The sequence below is a fragment of the Homo sapiens genome, chromosome 2, assembly GCF_000001405.40.
Source record: "Homo sapiens chromosome 2, GRCh38.p14 Primary Assembly".
NCBI classification, from domain to species: Eukaryota; Metazoa; Chordata; class Mammalia; order Primates; family Hominidae; genus Homo; species Homo sapiens.
This window is the reverse complement of record NC_000002.12, coordinates 234,608,424-234,632,916: the sequence shown is the minus strand read 5'-3', so window position 1 is coordinate 234,632,916 and position 24,493 is coordinate 234,608,424. Positions and strand designations below refer to the sequence as shown.

At 42.0% G+C, this 24,493-nt stretch overlaps 1 long non-coding RNA gene across 1 annotated transcript in view, besides 1 other annotated feature; it reads left to right on the top strand.

Moving 5' to 3' along the window:
• The first annotated feature begins 208 nt into the window (after positions 1-208).
• Positions 209-24,493, top strand: part of LOC105373936 (uncharacterized) — a 36,506-nt gene continuing 12,221 nt past the window's right edge. The window contains exons 1-2 of the long non-coding RNA XR_923998.3: positions 209-636; positions 9,710-9,757. This is a non-coding gene — a long non-coding RNA (uncharacterized LOC105373936). The remainder of the gene's footprint in view (positions 637-9,709; positions 9,758-24,493) is intronic.
• Positions 8,929-10,128: an enhancer, noted in NCBI's record as "BRD4-independent group 4 enhancer chr2:235531433-235532632 (GRCh37/hg19 assembly coordinates)". NCBI's record gives its function as "activates an origin of replication core promoter dependent on BRD2, P300/CBP, MED14 and CDK7 cofactors, and independent of BRD4, by STARR-seq in HCT116 cells {active_cell/tissue: HCT116}" and the evidence as "EXISTENCE:reporter gene assay evidence [ECO:0000049][PMID:35650434]".

Genomic DNA, 24,493 nt, shown 5'->3' with positions numbered 1-24,493 from the left:
TGATGACTGGCAAAAGTATGGACACACCAGTGTTTGAAAGTATTCCACACGTGTATGTGGTTATCCCCCCCTATACACACAGACTTGGGGTTAACTTCTCTTCATTTGTAGATCCACGGATCCTGGATCATTTCCCAGAAACCCGAAGACAAAGCTTATTTGTGATCTTACTGATCTTACTGGAATGTTTTTAGCAAGGCTGGGATTTTTCTCCCCAGGTGCCGGCTACACACTTAAACAAGACATTTTAAGATTCAACCTTCCGCTTGGTCTCTCCTGGTTTCTTACCAGCATTCACTCGCTTGCAACAGAGGATGCCTTACGCAGCGCCTCTTCCTGCCATCAGCATGGGGACCAGGCTGCTTTCCTGGGCCTAGAAGTCATTACACAAAACCCTTCTTTCGTTCAAAACAGATCCTCACTGTGGAGAACCTTTGGTTCTCAGGTGAAACCGGCGCCTCTGTAAATAGCTGCTGGGGAAAACTGCTTTCGTGGGTGGAAGCGAGGCTGGTGTGTGAGTTTTAGCATCAACAACCATCTGCTCTTGGCTGTGGCAGAGGTTTCCATGCCGTATACCCTGCAATGGAGGAATTCCCTTTTCAGTCCTGCTGTGAGCAAGAAGAGAGATCCCAGCAGGTAGGCTCCGATCCCCTCCCACTTTCTCGTGGAGCGCCTCCATTTACACTTCTGCAAACACCTCTTTTGTTTAAAAACATTTTGTTAACCTGGGCTTTGAATGACCAATGGTGAAAAAGAAGACTGATCCATTGCTAAGGCACTGATCATCCAGTTGGTTCAGATTCTTGCCCCTTCTGCCTGTTAGCCTTTGACACCAGAAGGTGAAGAAATGGGACTCAAACTTGTCCGTTTTCATGCTCATCTATTAGAAACTACTAGAAACTGAGCATCCTACCCAGAAACTGTTGTGCCTGTAGAAGTTCAGTGTGCAGGAGTCAAGACCTGCTCTCAGACCATGGATTTATCTCTGACATTGTAGCCCTTGTGCTGTAATTGTCTGGATGCATAAGAATGGAGACCAGTGATGTGCTAGCAAATGTTTAACATCTGGATTTGGGGGAGGAAGCCTTGGTTTGTAGCATTTGCTGCTTGCTGTCGTGTAAATACTTCCATGCTGGGTGTGGTGGCGTGCATCTGTAGTCTCAGCTATGTGGGAGACTGAGGTGGGAGGATTGCTTGAGCCTGGGAGGTGGAGGCTGCAGTGAGCAGTGATCGTACCACTGCACTCCAGCCTGGGTGACAGAGTGAGACCCTGTCTCAAAAACAAAAACAAACAACAGCAACAAAAACCATATGCTTCAGGGCTCTGCTCCTTGGGTTCTGGCAACCAGTAAATACATTTTAGTATGAGGTGAATTTAAGTTAACCCGTTATTGTTATCACTTCTTAAGAAAGTTGTAACCAAAACTATCTCAAATTGTGAAATAATTTTCATTCTAGGTACAACAATTATGATAATAAATAAATTATAAAAACTCTACCAGGCATTACTAGCTCTAAATTTAGAAGGTAGGGCAGGTGCTTGGGAGACTTGTGTTTTTCCCTGAGAGAGCACTGGGGAAACAACTGCCCGCAGATGAAACTGACCCCTCGCGGGGTTCCAGGTCCCGACCCTCATCAATTTCTCACCAGTGACTCAGAAAGGCAGTCAGAACAGAGGTTCTTCTCCCCAGTTAAGGAATGAGGAGTCTGGGAACCTTTCATAAAAGTCCCAGAGCTGGAAGTGACTTCGGCTTCCCAGCACGGGGACTTTTCCTGCCCCTGACACACGGAGCCGGCTGGCTGGTTCCTGGAATTTAAAACCAGCAAGGGGAATGAAAGCAGAGCCTGGAAATGTCACAGTTATTATGATTTGTTCTTGCTTATTACTTCACCTCCAACCGATTGTTTTCCTCCTCTTTGTGAGATTTGTTAGTAAACTTGCTTCTGAGACTGAGGAAGAACAGCATTTCAAGCTGCCGGGAGAGACAGGCTGGATGCTGAGCCAGATGTGCTATTGCTTTTTCTTAACATGCTGAGAGGTCAGGGGAGTGGCCAGCTCAGAACTGGATCTCTAGCCTGAGGTGTTTCACATTCCATTGTTTATTCATAAGCTGTTTTTTTAATATTTATTTTTTTATTTTTTCATTTTAACTACAAAGTACATCTATTTCCTTAGGGAGGCTACATTATAGAAACTTACTAAGCAGAGCATTATGAGTCTCTTAAATTCTTAGACAATTGGAAAGTAACCATTCTAGATAAGACAGTACCGACTGTGGGGTAACTTTGACTTCATTGTCCATGTAAACAATCACAGGTGTGCTTGGTTTATTGTTATCCACACTCCTGCAAATGTCCTGTAAATTTCTTCAAGTTTGCACTACGGCAGTCACGAAAAATTATTCTGTTAAGCCCGCTTTTCCCTCATCATGCGATTTCACTTTAAGATGTTTGGGTTGACTTTCAAATTCTACATCCTCATCTTATCCTCTGCACCTCTAGAAACCTGGCAGTTAGGCAGCTCTGAATTATACATGAATTATACATTTGTATTATACATGAATACAAATAATAATTCAAAACCAAAAATACCTCCTTTAATAATGAAGGTTGAACTGTGCCTTTGGACAATAACAATGTGCTCCAGAGTAAAAAAAATCTGCATTGGTTTTTGTGTGCCTGTTTCTCAACTACTGAAACATGCACACACACCTAACAGAACTGAAGAATGTTTTGAAAAAGACATCAGGCAAGAGGACTCCAGAGTTAACACAAACTAAGATAAGTCATTCAAGGGAAAATTTATGGTGAATGCTTATAAATATAGGCATAGTTCAGATGACCATGATTTTAATTAACAAAAGGAATTTATATCTCTTTGGCCTGCCTTTGAAAATGTTGTTCATCTTTAACAATCTGCACCATAACTTCTTCCCTTAGAAGACAGCTTTAATAGAATTTATGTAATAGAATTGAAATCCAGGCTCATTTTATGCAGAAACATTGTTTACAACAGGCCTCGTGTGTTTAATTTTGTTTTGACATTGATCTATTATGTGTGGGCCCCCAACAGTAAGTCTGAAATTGTCAGCAGAGAGAGAATTGAGTCATAAAATCTTAGAACTGGAAAGCATCTCAAGGCTCAATCATGACAGCCTCCTCTAGCAGCATCTACAGCGGGCCTCTGCCTCAGTACTGTGACAAGACATTATTTTGTGAATCTCAGATGTCTTTAGGTGATAGAAAGCCTCCCTCGGAAAAAGCATTCTGCAAGAGCATAGGATGAGGATTTTTAGTGGCTGCTGTTTGATTCAGTGTCATGATTCTGAGCACTTTGAGCTAGCTATGTGTTTGGTTGCATTTACTATATATGTGTATTATTTCATTTATTCTTTATAGCATATTTTCTTCCTTTCACAACAGTAAAAGTGAAAAAACAGGATAGCTCCCTGGTCCCCCTTGCAGAATGTGCCACAGGGGTGTGGCTCACCTGTTCAGTCGCTACCAATGCTCAAACCCCTGACAGGAGGGGTATCACACAGACGGGCAGGTGCAGGAACCAGGGCAAGCGCTTTCAGCTCTGGCCCTATGGTAGTGTCTAAGGGTGGGTGCCTGCAACCCCAGTGTTACAATGCTCTTTTAGTTACGTGGCCCACAGATGACTTAAGAGTTAACCAGCTCAGTGCCCTCTCTGCCTTTCTGCAAGGGCAGAGGACCAGTGTGACAGCTTTCTGTATCCTGAGCTCTTGTCCAGGGTCCTGGAAGAATCAGCTCACACGTGGACTTGAAGGATGAATGCAGAGTTTTACTGAGTAGCTTTCAGTGGGATGAATGGGGAGCTGGGAGGGGGATGGAGTGGGAAGGTGATCTTCCCCTGGAGTTTGGCCACCCAGCAGCCAAACTCCTCTCTGACCGCCCCCAGCTGAACTCCTCTCAGCGTTCAGACATTCCTTTTCTTCTCTCTTTCTCTGCCATGCCATTCTGCCATTCATCTGCTTGTTTTCTTGTCTCCTCATCTGCTCTTGGAGCCTGGGGCTCAGGGTTTATATGGGTACAGGACAGGGGGGCATTGCAGGCCAAAAGGCAACTTTTTGGGTGTGAAAACAGAAATGCCTATTCCCATTTAGGGCCACAAATTGACAGTGAGGCCTTTCCTAGGGAACCACCCTCTTCTACTCAGTATTTCCCTGTCTCCTGTCCATATCAGTAATCTGTGATTGCTAGTTCAAACAATACAGAAGTTTAAACAATAATAAAGGAAATAACCCTTTAGCATTCCTCCCTATCATTTTCATACTTCCTTACAGATTGTTTTTATAAATAGTTGATATTTTAATTGCCCTCCTGTGCATGTATTGGACATGCATATCTATTTTACTGTGTGTATGTATATATATATATATATATATATATATATATATATGGAGAGAGAGAGAGAGTAATCTATCACAGATTTCTTGAGGAAATTTACAAAAGAGTTAGTTTTTCATGTATTGATACAGAATTAGGTCCATGACAACTTTATATAATTTCATTAAAATTTTTTTTGTAATTTACCTATATAGATATTTAAATGCAAATATTTGATATCATACTACACACATTTTGTTTCATAACTATGTTTTCAAAAAATAAAAATTAAAAATCAGAAATTTTTTAGAAGGTAAAGAGATATAAATATTCCAGAAATATACAATCAGTTAATCCAATTGAAAGTTAATTTAGCATCTTGACAACCAAGGAAATAGAAAAATATGATGAGTTTTACATTTCTCATTATGTGATAAGGCAAAGCCAACATGGTTTCTGAAAAGAAACATATTTGGACACTAAAATCTATGTGGAATCCATTACATTGATCTTTATACACCTTCAGGTATGTAGGACAACCTATCAGACACTTCTTTGACTGTGATTTTGCAAAAATAGAGAAATATCCTCTATATAAGAGCATATAACTTCTCCCTCACAACAACAAAACACCAAAGAGCTGAAGACTTAATTAAGAAATTGCTTTACATAACAATAGCAAATCTGGCAACTCAGGAAGAAGATGTGGATCTGGGGAAAATTGCAAGAGGGAATTTGTTGGGCTTCCAGCTTCTGCTTAGGATGCAGAAAGATGGAAAGGGCATTCTAACAACAGCAGTAACAACATGCCAGGTCATCTGCAAGAAGCACCACTTTTTTCAACCCTATCAGAAAGCTGAGGTTGCAGAACCACCAAACTAACCCAAACTCTGAGGAATAATCCAGACACTAAGGTCACATATTCCATAATTCTATTTATATGAAATACTCAGAATCGAGAAATCCCTAGGAACAGAAAGCAGATTACTGTTTGCCAGAGGCTGGGTAAAGGGGAGTGGAGAGTGCCTGCTTGCTGAGTACAGGGTCTCCTTGGGGGATGATGAAAATGTTTGCAACTAGATAGAGGTCATGGCTGCACTCACTGTGAAGGTACTAGATGCCACTGAATTGCACACTTTATTTCTTTTCTTTTCTTTTCTTCTTTTCTGAGATGGAGTCTTGCTATTGCCCAGGCTGGAGTGCAATAGCACAATCTCGGCTCACTGCACCCTCCACCTCTCAGGTTCAAGCAATTCTCCTACCTCTGCCTCCTGAGCAGCTGGGATTACAGGCACCAGTCCCCACACTGGGAGAATTTTTGTATTTTTAGTAGAGATGGGGTTTCTACATCATGTTGGCTAGGCTGGTCTCGAACTCCTAACCTCAGGTGATCCCCCACATCAGCCTCCCAAAGTGCTGGGATTACAGGCGTGAGCCACCGCGCCCGGCTTGTACACTTTAAAATGGTTAATTTTATGTTATGTGAATTTTACCTCAGTTAAAAAACAAAACAAAATCAAAGGAAAAGAGCTCCTGAGACAGGATGTAAATCCTTGCTTACCTCGGGCAGAAGCAAACGGACGCCAAACAAGCCAAGTAAAAAGGATTAAGCTAAAGTGTTTGACAAAGTGCTAAAGGCCAAGGGATGGCCAGAGTGGGTGCAGAGAAGCCCTAAGCATGGCAGACACAAGAGGAATTCACACCCACTAGCAGGCTCTTCTCCACACGCCTCACTGCATGCTCACCAGAAAGATCAGAAGAGACCCAGAGATGGAGAAAACCACCCTCATGGTGCACCTGGTGGAAAGGAACAGTGGCCTCAGAGATAAGGGCATAAGGCACACCTGGGACCTTCTCCCCTGTATGAGTCACAGAGCTTAGCAGAAGCAAACTAGAAATCAAAAATAGACCTATAACTGGAAAACCAACTAAGCCATGGAAATTAAATAATACACTTCTAAATAATCCATGGATCAAAGAGGCAGTCATGAGAAAAATTAGAGAATACTTTGAAATGAATGAAAATGAAATCCATATCAACATTTGTACAATACAGCTAAAATCGTGCTTAGAGGGGAAATCTATAGCATTAAATGCCCATATTAGGAAAGAAGAAAGTTCTCTTATGAATGATTTAAGCTTACACTTTAAGAAACTAGAGAAGTAAGAGCCAATTAAACCCAAAGTGAGCAGAAAAAAAGAAATCATAGCATGAACAGCAGAAATCAATGAAATGGAGAAAAGAAATATGATAGAGAAAATCAATGAAACCAAAAGCTTGTTCTTTGAAATAGTCAGTACATTTGCCATACTGATTAGAACAAAACAGAAGTAGAAGTTATCAATATTAGGAATTTTAAAAAGATATTGAAAGATGGCTGCTCAAACCTCAGGCCATATATCCATTGGAGAGGCAGTCTTCTGCCCAGTTAATAAAACAGGCTCAGGAATTGAATCTCATTGGTCCTGATGAGCCTGTTCTTGTCACATGTCCACCTCTGAGCCAATCACTGATGCCAGGGTTGGAAAGTGCTGACTGGCTTCCTCTAGGTACCACCTTCCAGTCCTGGAGTCTGGGACAGACAGAATTGTCTCATCTAAAACCTGTGGCCTCAGAGGAGAAACGTGGATGTGGGCTGCCATGCAGCAAGTAGCTCAGACATCTGGAAATACAAACTCCAAAGGAGGGCAAATGGCAGCCGACACCCCCTCAGAGCTTCCAGTAAGAAGAGCAGAGCATTCTTGAGAGCCTCCTTGTTCCATGGAAGCTTCAGCACAGGGAATGATAACCTTGGGACACCCCAGTGACCACGCCCCAGTCCTAGAGCTGACATGCCACACTTTGTCCATGTAGGACTGCCACGCCCCTTATTGACTCAGTCCTCTAAGTATTAAAGCACCCCAGGAATGGAGGAGTCCTGACCTTGCCATCCCTGGGAGAGGGTGGCATGGGGAAGAAGCAGGCGGGAAGGGACTCGGAATAGCTCTTCCTCTAGGTGTCCTCTTTTCTTGTCTCCAGCTACTGTGTTGTTCCCACCACCAACACGATGGTCTATAAGGAGAAACTTATAAAGGGCAACCTGACACCAAAAATGAGACGTCAGGTTGCCATTTCAAATCTCTAAGTCTCTCTTCTTTAGCAGAGACAAAGGAGAATGAGCAAGAAGGTCATTTTTCTCAGCATCATTTATCAAGCTGTTACCATGTAAACTGCTTTGTAATTAACATTTCCTTGCCTTATTTCTGGGGCTATAACTGTGCTTCTCACCATTATTTTGGCTTCATTACAAAGAACAGCAGTTTATTTATTAAATGACACACAGCTTGTGGGACATGAGTGTTAACTGTCAGAATAGACCTGGTTTTGTTAGAAGTACTGTTTCATTTATGATATATGGAAAACAGAACCTGGTTCTTTCCTTGAATTCCAATCCTTTTCCTATTTGTTTCATAAAGATAGCAAGCAACACAGCACCCAGGTGATAGCTGCATTATGAATAACTTAAGCTCAGTTTGGCACATATTTGGATGGGTCTCTGGGCACCTTGATATAGTTGCTATCAAGATGTCAATAAATACCTATTTAAGGATAAACTCATTAGGAGCTAACATGGTAAGTGAGAATTGAAGCATATTTATAGTGGTGGGTAAATCAATATGCCATTGCTTAATTATATTCAGTGCACAATTGCTTTTTCTACCTCCAAAATAAACCTTCAAAGTGAAACATTTTAAATTAGAAAAATATCAACACAGGATGGAGTTTGAAACACAGTCACATATAAACAGCAAGACAGGCAGGTGGTGCTCCCATGAGAGGGAATTTTGAAGACATTGACGTTGCAATCAGGCAACATAGAGCATAAGGCCAGGGTGGACCCCACAGGCTCATGCTCAGCTGGTGGAGACATTGGTGATGGCCCAAACTCAGGGGCTGATCGTTGAAATTTTGCCTCATGGACAAACCCAAAGAGCCTTAGTGCCCTCCAGTCACAAGCCAAGCAAATGACCTGTTCCTTGAGTCTAAGAGGATCAGGTGGAAGGTAAGAACATCCATGTTGTGGAACACACAGAGGGAAACCCAGCAAGTGAGCTACAGTCTTCTGGCTCCTCTAGAGGACAGGCCCAAGGATACGGGGGCCCCAGGATGGAAGTGAGTGCTCACACCCTGGAGGAGACTCAGGAAGCCACAGAGCACGAAGTCTGCAGGGGCTGGGAGTTGGTGATGTTGCTCTCCATCTAGCCTGCTCCTTCAGAATTTGCAGGGTGTGTTAGTCCATTCTCATGCTGCTAATAAAGACATATCCAAGACTGGGTGATTTATAAAGGAAAGAAATTTAATGGACTCAGTTCAGAATGGCTGGGGAGGCCTCAGGAAACTTACAATCATGGCAAAGGGGAAGCAAACACGTTCCTTCTTTACATGGCGGCAGCAAGCAGAAGTGCAGAGAAAAGGGGGGAAAGCCCCTTATAAAACCATCAGATCTCGTGAGAATACACTCACTATCCTGAGAACAACATGGAGGTAACCATGCTGATTCAATTACCTCCCACCGGGTTCTTCCCATGACACACGGGGATTATGGGAACTACAGTTCAAGATGAGCTTTCGGTACAGACTCAGCCAAACCATATCATAGTAGTTGGCACTCCCTGGTGCCTGTGTGGTGTGCCCAGATGAAACTCTACCCACCAAGTGTCCTGTTCATTATGGCACATCAGCATGCTTACCCAGTGATGTCAGTGGAAACTAGCTTTGTGCTCCCTGTGACATAAGTTTTGCAACTTTCATTACCAGTCCCAAGGACTGTGCTGACCTTGTGGATAGGTGCCATCAGATCCCAGCATCAGTCAAAGGGGAGGTCAGGCCATCCGTCATCCTCAGTCCGGACTTCCTAGGCTCCCTCTTGGAACTGCATCCAGGGTACATGTCATCAGGAGGTGTTTCCTGTGTAAGTTGCCAAATTTAGTGGCACGCTAATGAAATGGCCTTTCTGCCTACCCCGGAGAAGCTGAACAATGAGCCCCATGCTGTGTCTACTCAGGGCCTGTGACTCCCGGCCCAGGCACTTTTAGCTTCAGCTCTACCAATGCTTTTCTGTTATCTCCTGGTGTTTAATATGGCAGGGGAGAAATTTTAGTCCAACCTACCTGACATTCATTTCCTCAAGGGTAAATTCAAAGGCATCCTTTTGTTAATTTTGAAATTATAAAAAATTGCCAGCCTTGTCTTCATGCCCATTTCTCTTCATTAATGGAGCCTGGGGACTGCGGGCCCCTGCCCTGGCGGGCAAGTCTATTTCCAGGTCAGAAAAGTTTTCTCTAATACCTTTTATTGTTGCTTCATTCTAATTTCCAGGGCGTGCTTTGTCAGGAGCAGCTTTTATTCATGGATTGGATCTCCTTGGTGAGTCCTCTGCTTCTATTATCTTATTTTTCTTATCTTTTAATCTTTTTATTCATTTCCTCTGTGATCGTATAAGGTCACTCAAGTTCATCTTCAGCTTTACTGAGTTGATTTCCTTCAACAATGAGCCTGATTTTTCCCTTCTGGTGTGGATTTAATATCTGTCTCTGTTCTTTTTATCTATGAACTTGTTCCTAGGACTGAGCTATCCTTATCTTACCCTGGAGAATTAAACAAGAGCTGCGTCTTCTTGAGTCACACAGAGAATACTGAGTGGGGGTTTTCTGAAAACAATCCCTCTGTTTCGTGGAGTATGTCTGTTATATCGAGACCTCTTCTTTGAGGGCAGGGAGCTGGGGTTGTTACCGGTAGAAGGTGTCCAGGTTCTTGGCGTCTCAAACAAAGAAATGGACAAAATGCATAAACAAAGCAAGGAAAGCAAAAGTAGGGATTTACTGAGAACGAAAGTACACTCCACAGTGTGGGAGTGGGCCTGAGAAGAGGGGGTCAAGAGCTCTGGTTACATAATTTTCTGCGGTTTCAATACTCTAGAGGTTTCCCATTGGTTACTCGGTGTATGTTCTATGTAAATGAAGAGAATGAAGTGAAGTTACAGAGTCATTTACTCAGAATGCGCCCTGTTATAAATGGAGAAGATGTTACTTTGTATGTGTGGTCTATGTAAATGGAGGATGAAGTGAAGTTTCAAAGCAATTCACATTCCTGTCATTGCTGAAGTGCTTTCATTTATTTATTTATTTACTTTATTTTATTTTGAGATGGAGTCTCACTCTGTCTCCCAGGCTGGAGTACAATGGCGCAGTCTCAGCTCACTGCAACCTCTGCCTCCTGGGTTCAAGTGATTCTCCTGCCTGGGATTACAGGCACCTGCCATCATGCCTGGCTAATTTTTGTATTTTTGTTGAGATGATGTTTCACCATGTTGGCCAGGCTGGTTTCGAACTTCTGACCTCAGGTGATCCACCCACCTTGGCCTCCCAAAATGCTGGGATTACAGGCATGAGCCACCATACCCGGCCTAGGAAGTCAGCGTGGGTTAGCCTTATGTTCCCTGCTTCCAGGCCCTGTTCTCCTGCCTCAGGGTCAGAGGTCGGAACCCAAATGCCTTTAGGGCCAGGCAGGCATCTGCAATGAGTGGAACCACTGGCTGGCTGGAAGGACGGTCAGAGCTCCTTGTCTGACTTGTCCACAGAAGTGGAAAATTCCAGTTTCCAGGTGAAATGCTGTGACTTTTCAATGTTAGGCCAATCCAGGGGTGGGGAGGGCAAATGCAAAAGGTTTCCTGGCCAGTGTTCTGCCCATTGGCCTCTAGTCTTTAGCTAAGGCTTAGCAGAAAAGCCTTCTCCTATGGGGAGAACTTTCTGTGAGGTTCCATATGGTCCCTGCTGACTCTTCCTGGAGTGAAGAAGGCTTTTCCAAGCCCCTTGATGGAAGACAGGATGCACATGTGGTCCACTCATTTGCCTGGAGGTGGAGGAGAACTCTGCTGGCCTTGCCTAATAAGATGCAGCCTCTAAAATGACGGCAGCAGTGAAGATGAGAGTGAGATGACATAGTGCACTTCCTACGGGCCAGACAGGCTAAGTGCTCTGTGTGTATTGCATCCTTTATTAGAAGGCACCCAGCAAGGTGTTTGGGACATAGTAAACTCTCAATAAATCTCATGATGTTCATGATTGTTAAGATTGCTCTTTACATCTGGAAGTCTACGAGGTGTGAATAGCACAGTCCCCAGGGCACACCAGGCTTGCATTATTGCTCACTCCTGCGTCTTGCTTTTTCCTGTGATTAGCAGCAATTTTCCAAGGTGCTGAGGCAGAAAGTGGGAGGTCAGGCTTTCGGCCAGTAATAACAGTGGGCACTGTGCTACAAGCTATGCATAAGCATTTCCTAACAACGAGCTTGCAAAGCTGGTGGTGTTGTCTCTTATTTACAAATGAAAAATCTAAGATTTGGAGAGGCTAAATAGAGGATTTATAACTGGGTTGAGCAAGATGAGGACACTAAATTCGGTAATATGGAGGTTGTTGGGAACCTTGAATGCAGCAATTTGCGTGAAATAATTAAGGTGGAAGCCAGATTCAAATGGTCTGCATAGGAAGTGAAAAATGTATACATGGGCTGGACGTGGTGGCTCACGCCTGTAATCCCAGCATTTTGGGAGGCCAAGGCGGGTGGATCACCTGAGGTCAGGAGTTTGAGACCAGACTGGCCAACATGGTGAAACCCCAGCTCTACTAAAAATACAAAAATTAGCCAGGCATGGTGGTGTGTGCCTGTAGTCCCAGCTACCCAGGAGGCTGAGGCAAGAGAATCACTTGATTCTGGGAGGCAGAAGTTGCAGTGAGCTGAGATCACGCCACTACACACCAGCCTGGGCAGCAGAGCTAGACTCCATCTCAAAAAAAAAAAAAAAAAGAAAAGAAAAATGTAAATATGGCAAGAATAACCATTAAGGAATTAAACAATCAGACTATAGACTAAGAGAACAATTTGCAAGATATGATAGACACAGGATTCATCTTACTAATATAAAGAAGTCTGCTATAACTTGAGGAACAAAACAAATACAATCCAATATAAAAATGCTCAATGAATATGAGCAGGTGATATACAGAAGAAATCCAAACCCTCTGTAAACAGCTTCCTTATCGTCTGAAATTTTCAAATTAAACCCAGAAGTCTATTTTTTACCTATTGATGATAAAAGCCAGTATTATGCAGAGTGAAGGGAAAGATACTCTTTCCTTCTTGCTAGTATGAGTGTGAAATACTGCAACCTCTTAAAGATGTAATCTAGAAACATCGTTTAAAATGTAAACTATGTATACCCCTTGACTCACTAATTCTACACTTTTGTGTGAGTATCATAAACTCACACTCACAGGATGTGTTGGCTATGTCATTTCCTAGCTCCGTAACTCTCCGACCCATTATCTAACCTCAACATGCTTCAATTTCCTCATCTCTAAAACGGAAATAATTAAAGTGCTTATCTCACAGGATTGTTGCAAAAAATTCATGAGCGAACAGAGATATAACCAATGCCCTACTGCCACTATCGTCGTCTTCATCTCTACTGGATATTGCATATCCTTCTGCAATTTGCTTTTTCTGATCAAATTATATTTCTTCATGATGATAGGTGTAGCTCAGTCTCATTCATTTTGATTTTGCTACTGTATAGTAAGTACATTATATGACTATATGACAACTACATATACGTTTTCTGATTGATGGAGGTAGGTCTTATTTGCCATCACAAGCATGGCTTTGGTGATCTTCTTGTCCTTATCCATCCACACATGTGAAAAGTCCTCTAGGCTGCAGTTCCAGAAATTGAATTTTAGGGCCCGGTGAGTGAGTATTGTTCATTTTCCTTGATAGTGCTATCTCATCTTTTAAAGTATAGTTTGTGGTTTGTGTTGCTCTAGATTTGCACACATGCATTATCATATCAATCTAGTTAATTTTTGCCAATACAAGTTTTTTTCATTTAAGTTTTTTCTTCTGGGAACTGCCTATTCATGTTCTTTGCTATTTTTTTTTTTTTTTTTTTTTTTTTTTTTTGAGACGGAGTCTCGCTCTGTCGCCCAGTCTGGAGTGCAGTGATGCAATCTTGGCTCACTGCAACCTCCGCATCCCACATTCAAGCAACTCTCCTACCTCAGCCCCCTGAGTAGCTGGGATTACAGGCACTCGTCACCGCACCCAGCTAATTTTTGTATTTTTGGTAGAGCTAGGGTTTCACCATGTTGCCTAGGCTGGTCTCGAACTCCTGACCTCAGGTGATCCACCCGCCTCAGCCTCCCAAAGTGCTGGGATTACAGGCGTGAGCCACTGTGCCCAGCCTGCACTTTTTCTATTATGTTGTTTTTCTCTTCTTGTTGATTTATTGAAACTTTTTACTTGATTTTATTTTTTGCAAATATCTTTTCTGAGCCTGGCTTATCTTTTCACTTTATTTGCTTTGTGCAGAAGTTTTCATTTAAATGTAATCAAATGTATCTATCTTTTGATGTTCCTTTAGTGGAATTTTTGGTGTCTTTTTAATAAATTATATCATTCCTTTTTTTTGGTCTAGAGGAAGATGGGAGGTTTTCATGTTGGCCGGTATGTAGGTATATGTGCTGAGAAATATTATGTCAATAGTGCCCAAATTCCAGGTGTTATGTTTCTTTGTATTTGGGAGGATAATGTATGTTAATCTGTACATTAACCTGGAGTGAAAGTTCTAGAATACCCCATACCATTGGTCACCTAAAAAGGTAACCCATATAACAAGTCCCTGAATCTTTATAGGGTTACTTTCCCACCCTCTGGAATGCATGTCTTGCCAAAGTCTCCAATATCCTAGCCACTTTTTTTTTTTTTTTTTTTTTTTTGGAGATGGAGAGTCACTCTTGTTGCCCAGGCTGGAGTGCAATGGTGCCATCTCGGCTCACTGCAACTTCCACCTCCTGGGTTCAAGCAATTCTCCTGCCTCAGCCTCCTAGTAGCTGGGATTACAGGTGCCTGCCACCATGCTTGGCTCATTTTTTGTAGTTTTAGTGGAGATGGGGTTTTGCCATGTTGGGCAGGTTGGTGTTGAACTCCTGACCTCAGGTAATCCACCTGCCTTGGCCTCCCAAAGTATTGGGGTTACAGGGGTGAGCCATCACCGCACCTGGCCCACTTCTTTTTTATCCAGTCAAATTACCATGACTTTATTCATAATGTAGCCCAACAGAATGTTCTGAAAGGTGACTAGTAGGCCTGTGTCTCTTAGATTACATTAAGGAGAGAGTAGAATAGTTGACACAGCCCTTATTCAAGCATGGAAATGTACATTCTTGTTCATTCCAAGTGACTGCAAAATATTTCTGATCTGATTTTCTGATAAGGATAAAATAATGTATTTGGTAGATCAATAGCCACACACCATGTGCCCAAGGCTATGTCAGTCTGCTCTAGTAAAGATACTACACCAGGCACAGCAACTGCCACTGGGCTACTATGCGGTTGAGTTTCTTGTCATTCACTGTTGACCTCTAGGATTAGGAGCCAGACTAGTGAATTGTAAGGAGGCATAATGAAGCACCCCCTTGTACTTTTTCTTTAAGAATGGCACTAATTTCTACCATTCTCTTGAGGATGTGATATTGGTTTTGATTAATTATATTGGCTGGTGAGTGGGTGGGGGAAAGGAGGCCAGTTTCAGGGGTTTCTATTTGCTTTTTCCCACTATAATAGCTCTTATCCCTAGGCCAAGAAACCAGTGTAGGAATTGTGCTAATGACCACTGCAGGTATTTGTAGTTCAGTGGTTGTAACATGAGCTAAACCAGGGCCAGGACTCCACTTAATACGTGGCCCCCTGAGAGGGTACCATGACGCTGCTATCATTGTCAACCAGGACCCTGTCTCTAACAGTACCTAATGTTTTGTATTCCCCTTTCCACACTGTGCAGTGACCAAGGTAAACAGCCACAGGTCCTTGCAGGGAAAGACTGAGGACTCCTTTTCATGAACATTTGCTATGATGTTGCAGGGTCCTTTCTCCAGGGGCCGACCTTCCCATTAATCCTAAAACTGGGTACCAGGTAAAGGATATTACTTTACAAAGATCAATTATCTCAGCCTCCTGGTCATCAGTCTTGATTCTTCTGATTGTATAGGTTGATATTACCCCTGTTGGCTGCCTAGTCATCTTCCCCTTGGGAAGCCACATTCAAATAAACATCTCAATAACTTTCAGCCAGCCAGGCCCCTCTGGCTACCCTCCAACACGCTCATGATAATTTAATCCACCTGCCTTCCGATGACAAGGTGTTGCCACCTTCCCACTGTTGTTTTGGGATCCTGTCATTCCCATTGCTGCGGGTGAGCCCAGTCCCTAACGGCATCTCCTACCACCAGCCTTTGCATACAGAGGAGAATCACCTCTGCTCTTAGCATCCTTGGTGTCCCCCATACCAGCACATTTCTTACAGCCTTGCTGAATTGTGTACCCTCTGGGTGCCTCTCTGGGCACACAGTACTCTGGTAGGTTTTCTGGATTTAGGTGCTATATACCCTTTAGCATACCCACTTCTCTCTTCTATCACCTGCCACAGGAATTCTGAGATTTCTACCTGACTTAGTGTAGCCCACTGTGTTTTTGTGCTCCCACAAGCCATCCAGACCGCACATTTATGCCGTTACTCGAAGTCCTTGCCAAGGTATTGCATCCTGTTTTTATGGAGAATGCTGCCAAATCAACTAACTCTTCGTTATCCAACCTTACAATCCATCCCCCTTGATCAAAAGCCCTTGAATCCATTTCCGTATGGGCCCTCCTCGCTTCTGCTGCTACTGCCGGCTGGGCCCCGCAGCTTCTCTGAGGTATAGGCACTTTCCTCCCAGATGCTATTGAGTGCTGGATTTTCTTGTATTCCTTAGCAGAAGATTGGACAATTTGTGGCCATCAGTTTTTTAGTGGATGAATGATCCATCCATGGCTTGTTTCTAAGCTGCATTGGGAAGAGTCTAAAGACACCTTCTTTGCAGGGCTAATTAAGCTCCATTTTAAAAGACACAGCCTAGCCAGGATCTCTGTTGAAAGCCCTGTGAGTTCAACAGTCTCTCCACTCTGGCTAGAGAAAACTTGAAAGGTCTCAGGCACCCCATAAGCTCATAGAATTTTCTCATCACTCCTTGTAAATTATTCTTTATTCAGAAATTGTTCCTGTCCAGTCTTGGGAGTTTCACTCTATGTATGTGCAGTTTGATTTTCAACCAAAGACTCAGGGGACCCCATGCAGATTTCTGAGTTCTTTTAAGAGTACATAGCTTCTTTCTCTCAGGTTCTCTGGCCCACAGATTCTAGTGTCTTCATAGTCTCTGAACTCCAGTTGTATGTATCTTCAATGCAGCAGGAATGTTAGATTCTGTGTGGGTCCCCTCCATAAGCCACAGTCCAGGGACTTCTCCAGGCAGAAAGCCTAGGCCAGGATAGGGCCCGTCTCACTTCCTGCCCTTTCTCCTGTGCTGTGTGTTGTTCATTGTCTGACAGCTGTGCTTTTTGTGTGTTCGGTTCTCTAGTTGTCTACTGCAGGAGGGTGATCCTGGACCACTTCCTCCCCATGACCAGAAGTCCAGAGGTTTCCTATTGCATGTTCTACTTTTATTTACTGATAGAGGAATGCTATTGCTTTTTAAATGTTGATTTTGTATCCAGCAACCTTGCCAAACTCTTTTTTTTTTTTTTTTGAGACAGTGTCTCACTCTGTTACCCAAGCTGGAATGCAGTGGTGTGCAATCACGACTCACTGCAGCCTCCCCCTCCCAGGGTCAAGACATCCTCTTGCCCCAGCCTCTCAAAGTGCTGGGATTACAGGCACGAGCCACTGCACTTGGCCGCCAAACTCTTGTATTAGTTTTCATGGCTTGTCTGGACATTCTGTTAAGTATTTTATATTACAAAAAGATCATGTATCTGCAAATAAAGATGGTATAATCTCTTCCCTTCTAATTCGTATACATATTATTTCTTTTTCTTTTCTTATTTAGCTAGTGACTACAGAACATTTTTGGTGAACATTGTAACCGCCCAAGGGCTTCACCTTGCCCTCTGCCTAGACAGAGCAATTCATCAAGACAGGGGAATTGCAATAGAGAAAGAGTATTCAAGACAGGGGAATCGCAATACAGAAAGAGTAATTCATGCAGAGCTGGCTGTGTGGGAGACCAGAGTTTTATTATTACTCAAATCAGTCTCCCCAAACATTTGGGGAGCAGAGTTTTTAAGGATAACTTGGTGGGTCGGAGGAAGCCAGTGAACCAGGAGTACTGATTGGTCAGAGAAATCATAGGAAGTCGGAGCTGTCTTCTTGGGCTTAGTTGTTTCCTGGGTGGGGGCCACAAGATCAGATGAGCCAGTTTATTGATCTGGGCGGTGCCAGCTGATCCATCAAGTGCAAGGTCTGCAAAATATCTCAAGCACTGATCTTAGGAGCAGTTTAGGGAGGGTCAGAATCTTGTAGCCTCCAGCTGCACGACTCCTAAACCATAATTTCTAATCTGTGGCTAATGTTAGTGCTACAAAGGCAGCCTAGTCCCCAGGCAAGAAGGAGGTCTGCTTTGGGAAAGGGCTGTTACCGTCTTTGTTTACATGATGAACTATAAACTAAGTTTCTCCCAAAGTTAGTTTAGCCTACGCCCAGGAATGAATAAGGACAGCTTGGAGGTTAGAAGGAAGATGGAGTCAGTTAAGTTAGATCTCTTTCACTGTCTGTCATAATTTTGCAGAGGCGGGTTTCAACATGACGACAGAGGCCATCCTTCCCTTGTTCTTGACTTTGGTGCTAATGCTTCTAGACGCTAACCATTAGGATTAGTGTGTGCCGTAGGCTTTTCAAGTTTCTTCTTTTTCCCAATTTCATGAGAGTTTTCAGATCATAAACTGGTATTGACTTTTGTGACTGACCTAGGTACATCTATTGAGATTTTCCTTTGTTTTCTTCTCATTATTCTCTTAATATGGAATATTATAATAACAATTTTTCTGTTTTTGAAAATTATACATTCCCAGAATAAACATGCATTATTTTAAAATATAAAGTTGAGTTTGATTTGCGAACATTTTGTTTAAGATTATTGTATCTATGGATGCAATGACAGGCTGGTCTATCTTCTCCTTTTCTTATACTCTTCTAGTCCAGTTTGGTGAAAAGGATATTTGCTAGATTTTTCAAACAAGTTTTGGAGGCTTTCCTTCCTTTTCTAATCACTTAAACAGTTATTTAAGATAGTTATTTTTTGAAGGGATGGCAAAAGGTACCATAAACCCATCCAATCCTACTGTGTGTGTGTCTCTTTAAGCAGGAATCTTTTGACTACAAGTTAATTTATTGTTTTCAGTGTGTATGGTTTTAATGAGAATTCCTATTTCTTTGTGAATCAGTGTTGGTAACCTGAAGAGAAACAAGCAGAATTGCTTCCAAAGTGTAGGTTGCCTAACACCAGAATGACTGACACTCTCCCTTCTCAGTGGGAGGGTCTGTGCTTGAAGTCAATCTCCCTGGCGATGGGGGTTCCTTTCCTGTTGGGGTAGTATAAGAAACCAGCAAGCTGCAGGTGCCTTCCCAAAACTCCTGTCCAGCTGGCCTGTATCCTGTAAGAGCCTGGCACCCAAACCTTTTCTGTTTATACATACCCACCTGATGGTTTTTCTCCTGCTCCATACAAGGTATTATAAGAAGAGGCAGGTGCCTCATTAGAACCTGAACCCTCTGCACATCCAGAAGCATCGGCCTGTCCCCAGTGCTCTGCTCTATGAGATGATGAGACACCAGGGAACCGCCAGCCTTCTTCTCCACTTTTTGTTTTTTCTCAATTTTATTATTTTATTTTGTTTTAAAATTTTTAATTTAAATTATTTTTAGGATACTGTGGATTGTCTTTACGTTTTAATTGTGTTCTCCTTGAAATGTTTCTGTTTTTACTAAGCTTTTAAATTTTCTGGCATAAGGTTGCATATAGCAGCCTCTTAGGGTTTTTAAATAACTGATCATGTCATTATAGCCCCATTTTTATTCCCTGTCTCTTGTTGGTGCCGCTTTTCTCCTGTTTTAATGATTAATATTATTTTATAGGCTTATTAAGGAATTGATCTTTGCTGATCTTCTATTGTTTCTTTTTCATTTTGTTAATATCTGCTTTTATATTTGTCATTTTCTTCTTGTAACATTTTTAGGCTTTAGTAATTTTTCTTTTTAAACTTAAAATGAATGAACTCATTTGTTAAAAAAAAAAAAAAGCTGTTTTTAATAAATACATGAAGGCTATAATCTAAACCCCAAGTACTAATTTAACTAGAGCCTTCATGTGTTGAGGTCCACAGCATTTTCATGCTATTCATTTCTAGATACTCTGTAATTTGCATTATGAATTCCTCCTTAATTTGTGAGTTATTAATAAATGTATTTTTAAGTATCTCCATATCTGGAGAGCAGAAAGTGTTGTCTACTCCATTATCTTTTATTGTTGTTTTTCAATGTAGTTGAATTATGCTTAGCAAACATGATCTGTATTTTATCGATGCCATGAAATGTATTGGCAATTTCTTTGTGTTTTAAGCCATGATTAATTTTTCTTGAAAAGAATATATCTTCTATATTTTGGTGTGATGAGACATTTTCTACATATATATTATATATATTTTACTTTTGCTGGTTATTAATTTTTGTCTCATATAGTTGATATGTTAATTTCTAATATGAATGTGTTGAAATCTTTCTCAATGGTTTAAAATTTGGCATATTTCAAGGCAGTATTGCTAAGAACAAAATTATGATTCTTCTGGTTGGATTGTTATTTTTATTAATATAGAGTGTCCTTAATCTCTACTAGTGCTATTTATCTTAAATTCTATTTTGTCTAATATTATTTGTTCTTTAATTGTTATCCTAATTTTGTCAGCATTTGTAAGGTATACCATTTCCTATCTTTTGATTTAAACTTTTCTATGTAGTTTTATACGTCTTTATGTGCTTCTTATAAGTAGTGTTAGCTAGATTTTTAAATATCTTACCTGATAGTCTCTGTTTTTTAATTGGTGAGTCTAATCCATTTATATTTATTGAGTTTATGATATTTTTAGACTCATTTCCCCCATCAGATGGTGCACTTTCTACTTACCATCTTTTGTCTTTTCTTTTCTTTTTACCCTTTCCTTCCTTTTGTTAGATTAATGAAATTTTCTATATCCACCCCTCTGTCCTACTTCTATCCTCTGTTGATGAAGAAGCCATGATTATATTTTCATTGATTTAATGGTTACCATTAAAGTTTTAACTATTCATTTTTTTCCTAGCAAATTCTACAGTAATTACTATCTCTGTTCCTCAAATTTCTGCAAGAATTTTGTCATGCGTCTACCCACTGAAAAACCCCACACTCCTATTATCATCCTAAGACTTTTTATTTTATCCTCTTTACACACACACACACATACACATACACACACAGTTTTATAGTCAATAATGTGTCACACACATTTTTATAGTCAATAATGTGTCACACACATTTTTATAGTCAATAATGTGTCACACACACATTTTTATAGTCCATAATGTGTCATACTTACTACCATAGTTTATATTAATTTCTGAGCTCATTATAACTTCCCATGTGCCTTGCTATCCTTCTGTGCTCACTTTTTTTCTAGCTGAATGTATCAACGTTTTTAGTTAAATGCAACAGAAAATGGCTTTAGCTAATTAAATAAAAGGAGTTTATTCAAAAGATTGTGGGGTTTACAGAGTCATGAGGAGGCATAGAGAACAGGACTTGAGGCTAAGTTTCCAAGAATAACAGCCATTCCACAGACCTGATCTGAGGGAAGACTGTCTCTGCTACCAGTAAGCACTACATGAGGCATTTCCACAGCTTCCATGTGCATCAGTAGATAGACTTCAGTCAGCTTTATTGCACCTCCTCCATCACAAACTCTTTGAAGGAAATCACTATGTGTGGCCCACCCTTGAAGAATCAGGAGTTACGTTTTCCCTTTACTGTAGGATGAAGTGTCTACACAGTAATTGGAATTTTTCTATACAGGAGAATGTCTTCTCTCCCTAATTTATTTAATCTACTCGATCATTTATGTAGGCAAGGATTTGTGAATATTTACCTTACACTTTGGTTTAGAATCCAATACTGCTTTACTGATGTTGTTGTTTGAATTGTTCCAGCTTTGGCCACTGGGGGCTCTTTCAGTGAGCTCCTGGGCTCCTGTGCCCCTTTGACATCAATGGCTGCTTTTTATCTATAATTACTATTACTTTTTGTTTTTTTTTAAGCACTTTCTTACTTTCTGGCATTACAAGGTACTCCAGGCTCACCTTGTTTATTTCCTGCCCCAGCCCTAGAAGCATTCATTTTTCCCTGGATCCCTGGTTCCTTTGGTTGGAGAATGGTATTAGAAACCAAGATCTGGGGGCGAAGAGTGCTATCCTGGCACATTTTATAACTTGTCCTTTGATTGAAGGAATTGACAATAATGACATGCAATCATAACTCATGTGTAGTTTTGGGATTAAAAGACAGATCTCTCTCTCTCTCTCTTCTTTAGTAGCAACTTTAAACTGCAAGCCGGTACCACTTGGGGACAGAAGATTTCCTACTGGGACTCAGTAGGTGTATTAGTCCATTTTCATGCTGCTGATAAAGACATACCTGAGACTGAGCAATTAACAAAAGAAAGAGGTTTAATTGGACTTACAGTTCCACGTGGCTGGGGAAGCCTCACAATCATGACGGGAGGCAAGGAGAAGCAAGTCACGTCTTACGTGGATGGTGGCAGGCAAAAAATGAGAGAGCTTGTGCAGGGGAATGCCTCTTTTTAAAACCATCAGATCTCGTAAGACTTATTCACTGTCACAAGACCAGTATGGAAGAAACCCATCCCCATGATTCAGTCATCTCCCACTAGGTCCCTCCCACAATGCATGGGAGTTATGGGAGCTACAAGATGAGATTTGGGTGGGGACACAGAGCCAAACCATATCAGTAGCTATTAAACGTTCTGTTCCTTATGTGACAGTAATGTAAGATTTATCTTTGTGAGGAAGGCACTCCCAGTTCTTGGTTAAAACTGCTTGAGAACGGCAGTTAACAGTCTTACTTTGTTATTATCATTTTTGTCCTGAGAAAAGTGAAAAGTCGCATTTAAGGTAAGGTGGGTGAGCTTAGATTAGGCAGAAAAAGTTTAGCAGGGGCCTCCTGGAGCATCAGACATTTGGCAGACTTCTCCAGAGACCCTTTCTGGGCTCCTCTAGAGGAAGGGAATGTACAGTTAGAAGATGTTTGCTGGTAGAGACAAGAGTAGGGGGCACTCAGGGGCCTGGACGGAGAGGTGCCACAACCACAGGGCTCATGAGGTCAGGGACTGAGACAGAGAGGGGCCTGTGTGCAGCCAGGAGTGGAGCAGGGGACGTTCAGTAAAGTAAGTGCATGCACATCAGACTTCCAGACTACTTTTCTAGATGAAATTTGATGTAGATAGTAAGTTCCTTATATGATTCCGGTTGATCATGAGTGAGACGTGATTGTGCCTTTGACACCCATGGCGGGAAGACGCCTGAGCTTGCCACGAGTCACCCCTATGTTTCTTTGCATCATAAGCTAGATGGCATTCATCTACTCTGGAAGAGCAGTGTTTCTGGCAACATACAGGCAGCCAAACTTATTCAGGCCTCACTCCCGTTTCAATTACACTGTTGTTGACCACTGACAGAGCCCCCCTGGGTCCACAGCACTGCCAGTGAGTTCTGCCGGGTATATGATTCACCCAGCAGCCATTGCTGCCCACAGCAGGCAGAAGCTAAAGGACAAGGACTCTGCTATTGGCATTCCCACTATCAGAGCAGGCTACAGTTTTTCAAGGAATTGTGTTTTAAGTTCAACGTGCATTAGGGCAGAGAAAAACATAGTGTGTTCCTGTAATTAGGGATGGTTTCTGCTCTGCTGGGAGGCTCACAAGACTTCATTTTACCTAATTATCTCCAGGTGACCATTGGTGCGCAGAGACAGCTGCAAAGCAGGGCATTGCAAGAATTGTGCTGAGTGGGGCCAAGAAGGCTCCTACCCAGAGTGATATGTGCCTGGGGCTTGGAAGGGATGCTGATGCCAGATCTTTTACAAGCCTAGTTAGTTCACGTCAGCGTCAGCATCCAATGACACACATATCAGTGCTCTTCAGCCACGATACTGACTCGAGGTATTTTGTACAACACAGTAGCAAATTTTCAAATAATACCTTCCATTTATCTTTCCATGTGTAGGAACTACTAGAGTGCTGTAATAATGCACTGGTACATAAATACAGAGATACACTGTAATCATGATTGCTGGGGAAATACGAAATAAAGTGCTGGTTCTCAAATATGCTTGTGCACTAGACTTACCTGGGAAACTTCCTAAAATTATTGGTCCTAAGTTTTCTCAAGACGCTTCAAATCAGAATCTGCTGGGGGGACTCCATTGCAGAGCTGCCATGTACAGTTGTGAAGTTTGCGCACTGCACAAAGGCACCTGGCAGGGGAAGACAATAAAGGCTGAAATTCAGGCCATGCTTGGCTTACCCACTGTGTTCCACTCAGGGCTGAGTCAGGTTCCCCAGATAATCCTGAAGCATAACCAGATTTACTTTCCTACGGGCTATAAAGCAGTGGTCAAATTAATTGTATTAGTTAGAAAAGGCCTTTTGGGGGATATTCTTAAGAGGTTAAAAAAAAACCCACCCTGCATGGTTGGATGATGTGTTTAATGAGACCTGTTCCATTTTACTTTTCCTAGAGGCTTTTGAGTTTACAGAATGTGTAAAAAAAAACCTAAATAATAACAATAGTTATTCGTGACCATTCTCATACTTCAGTTAACAACATTTTAATGCCCTACTGATTCATATCAATTTTCAGCAATTTCAATTTCACCAGCACGTCAGGCAGAAGACGGCAAATTGAAAAAGATCCTCAAAATTCTGGCGTATTTCTAGTGCTGTCCATGTACATGACCTTGGAGGTGATGAGAGATTGCTGTCAGCTGCATCGCGTCACATCCAGTCAATGAACCCGCAGCTTAACGAGGTGCAGTCTTTGCTGGGGGGTACACACAGAGAGCTGTGCTTGAGCTGGAGCCCTGCATCCACCTGCTTTGCATGCAGATGGGCACCTTTGTGATGTTCTTCTGGATT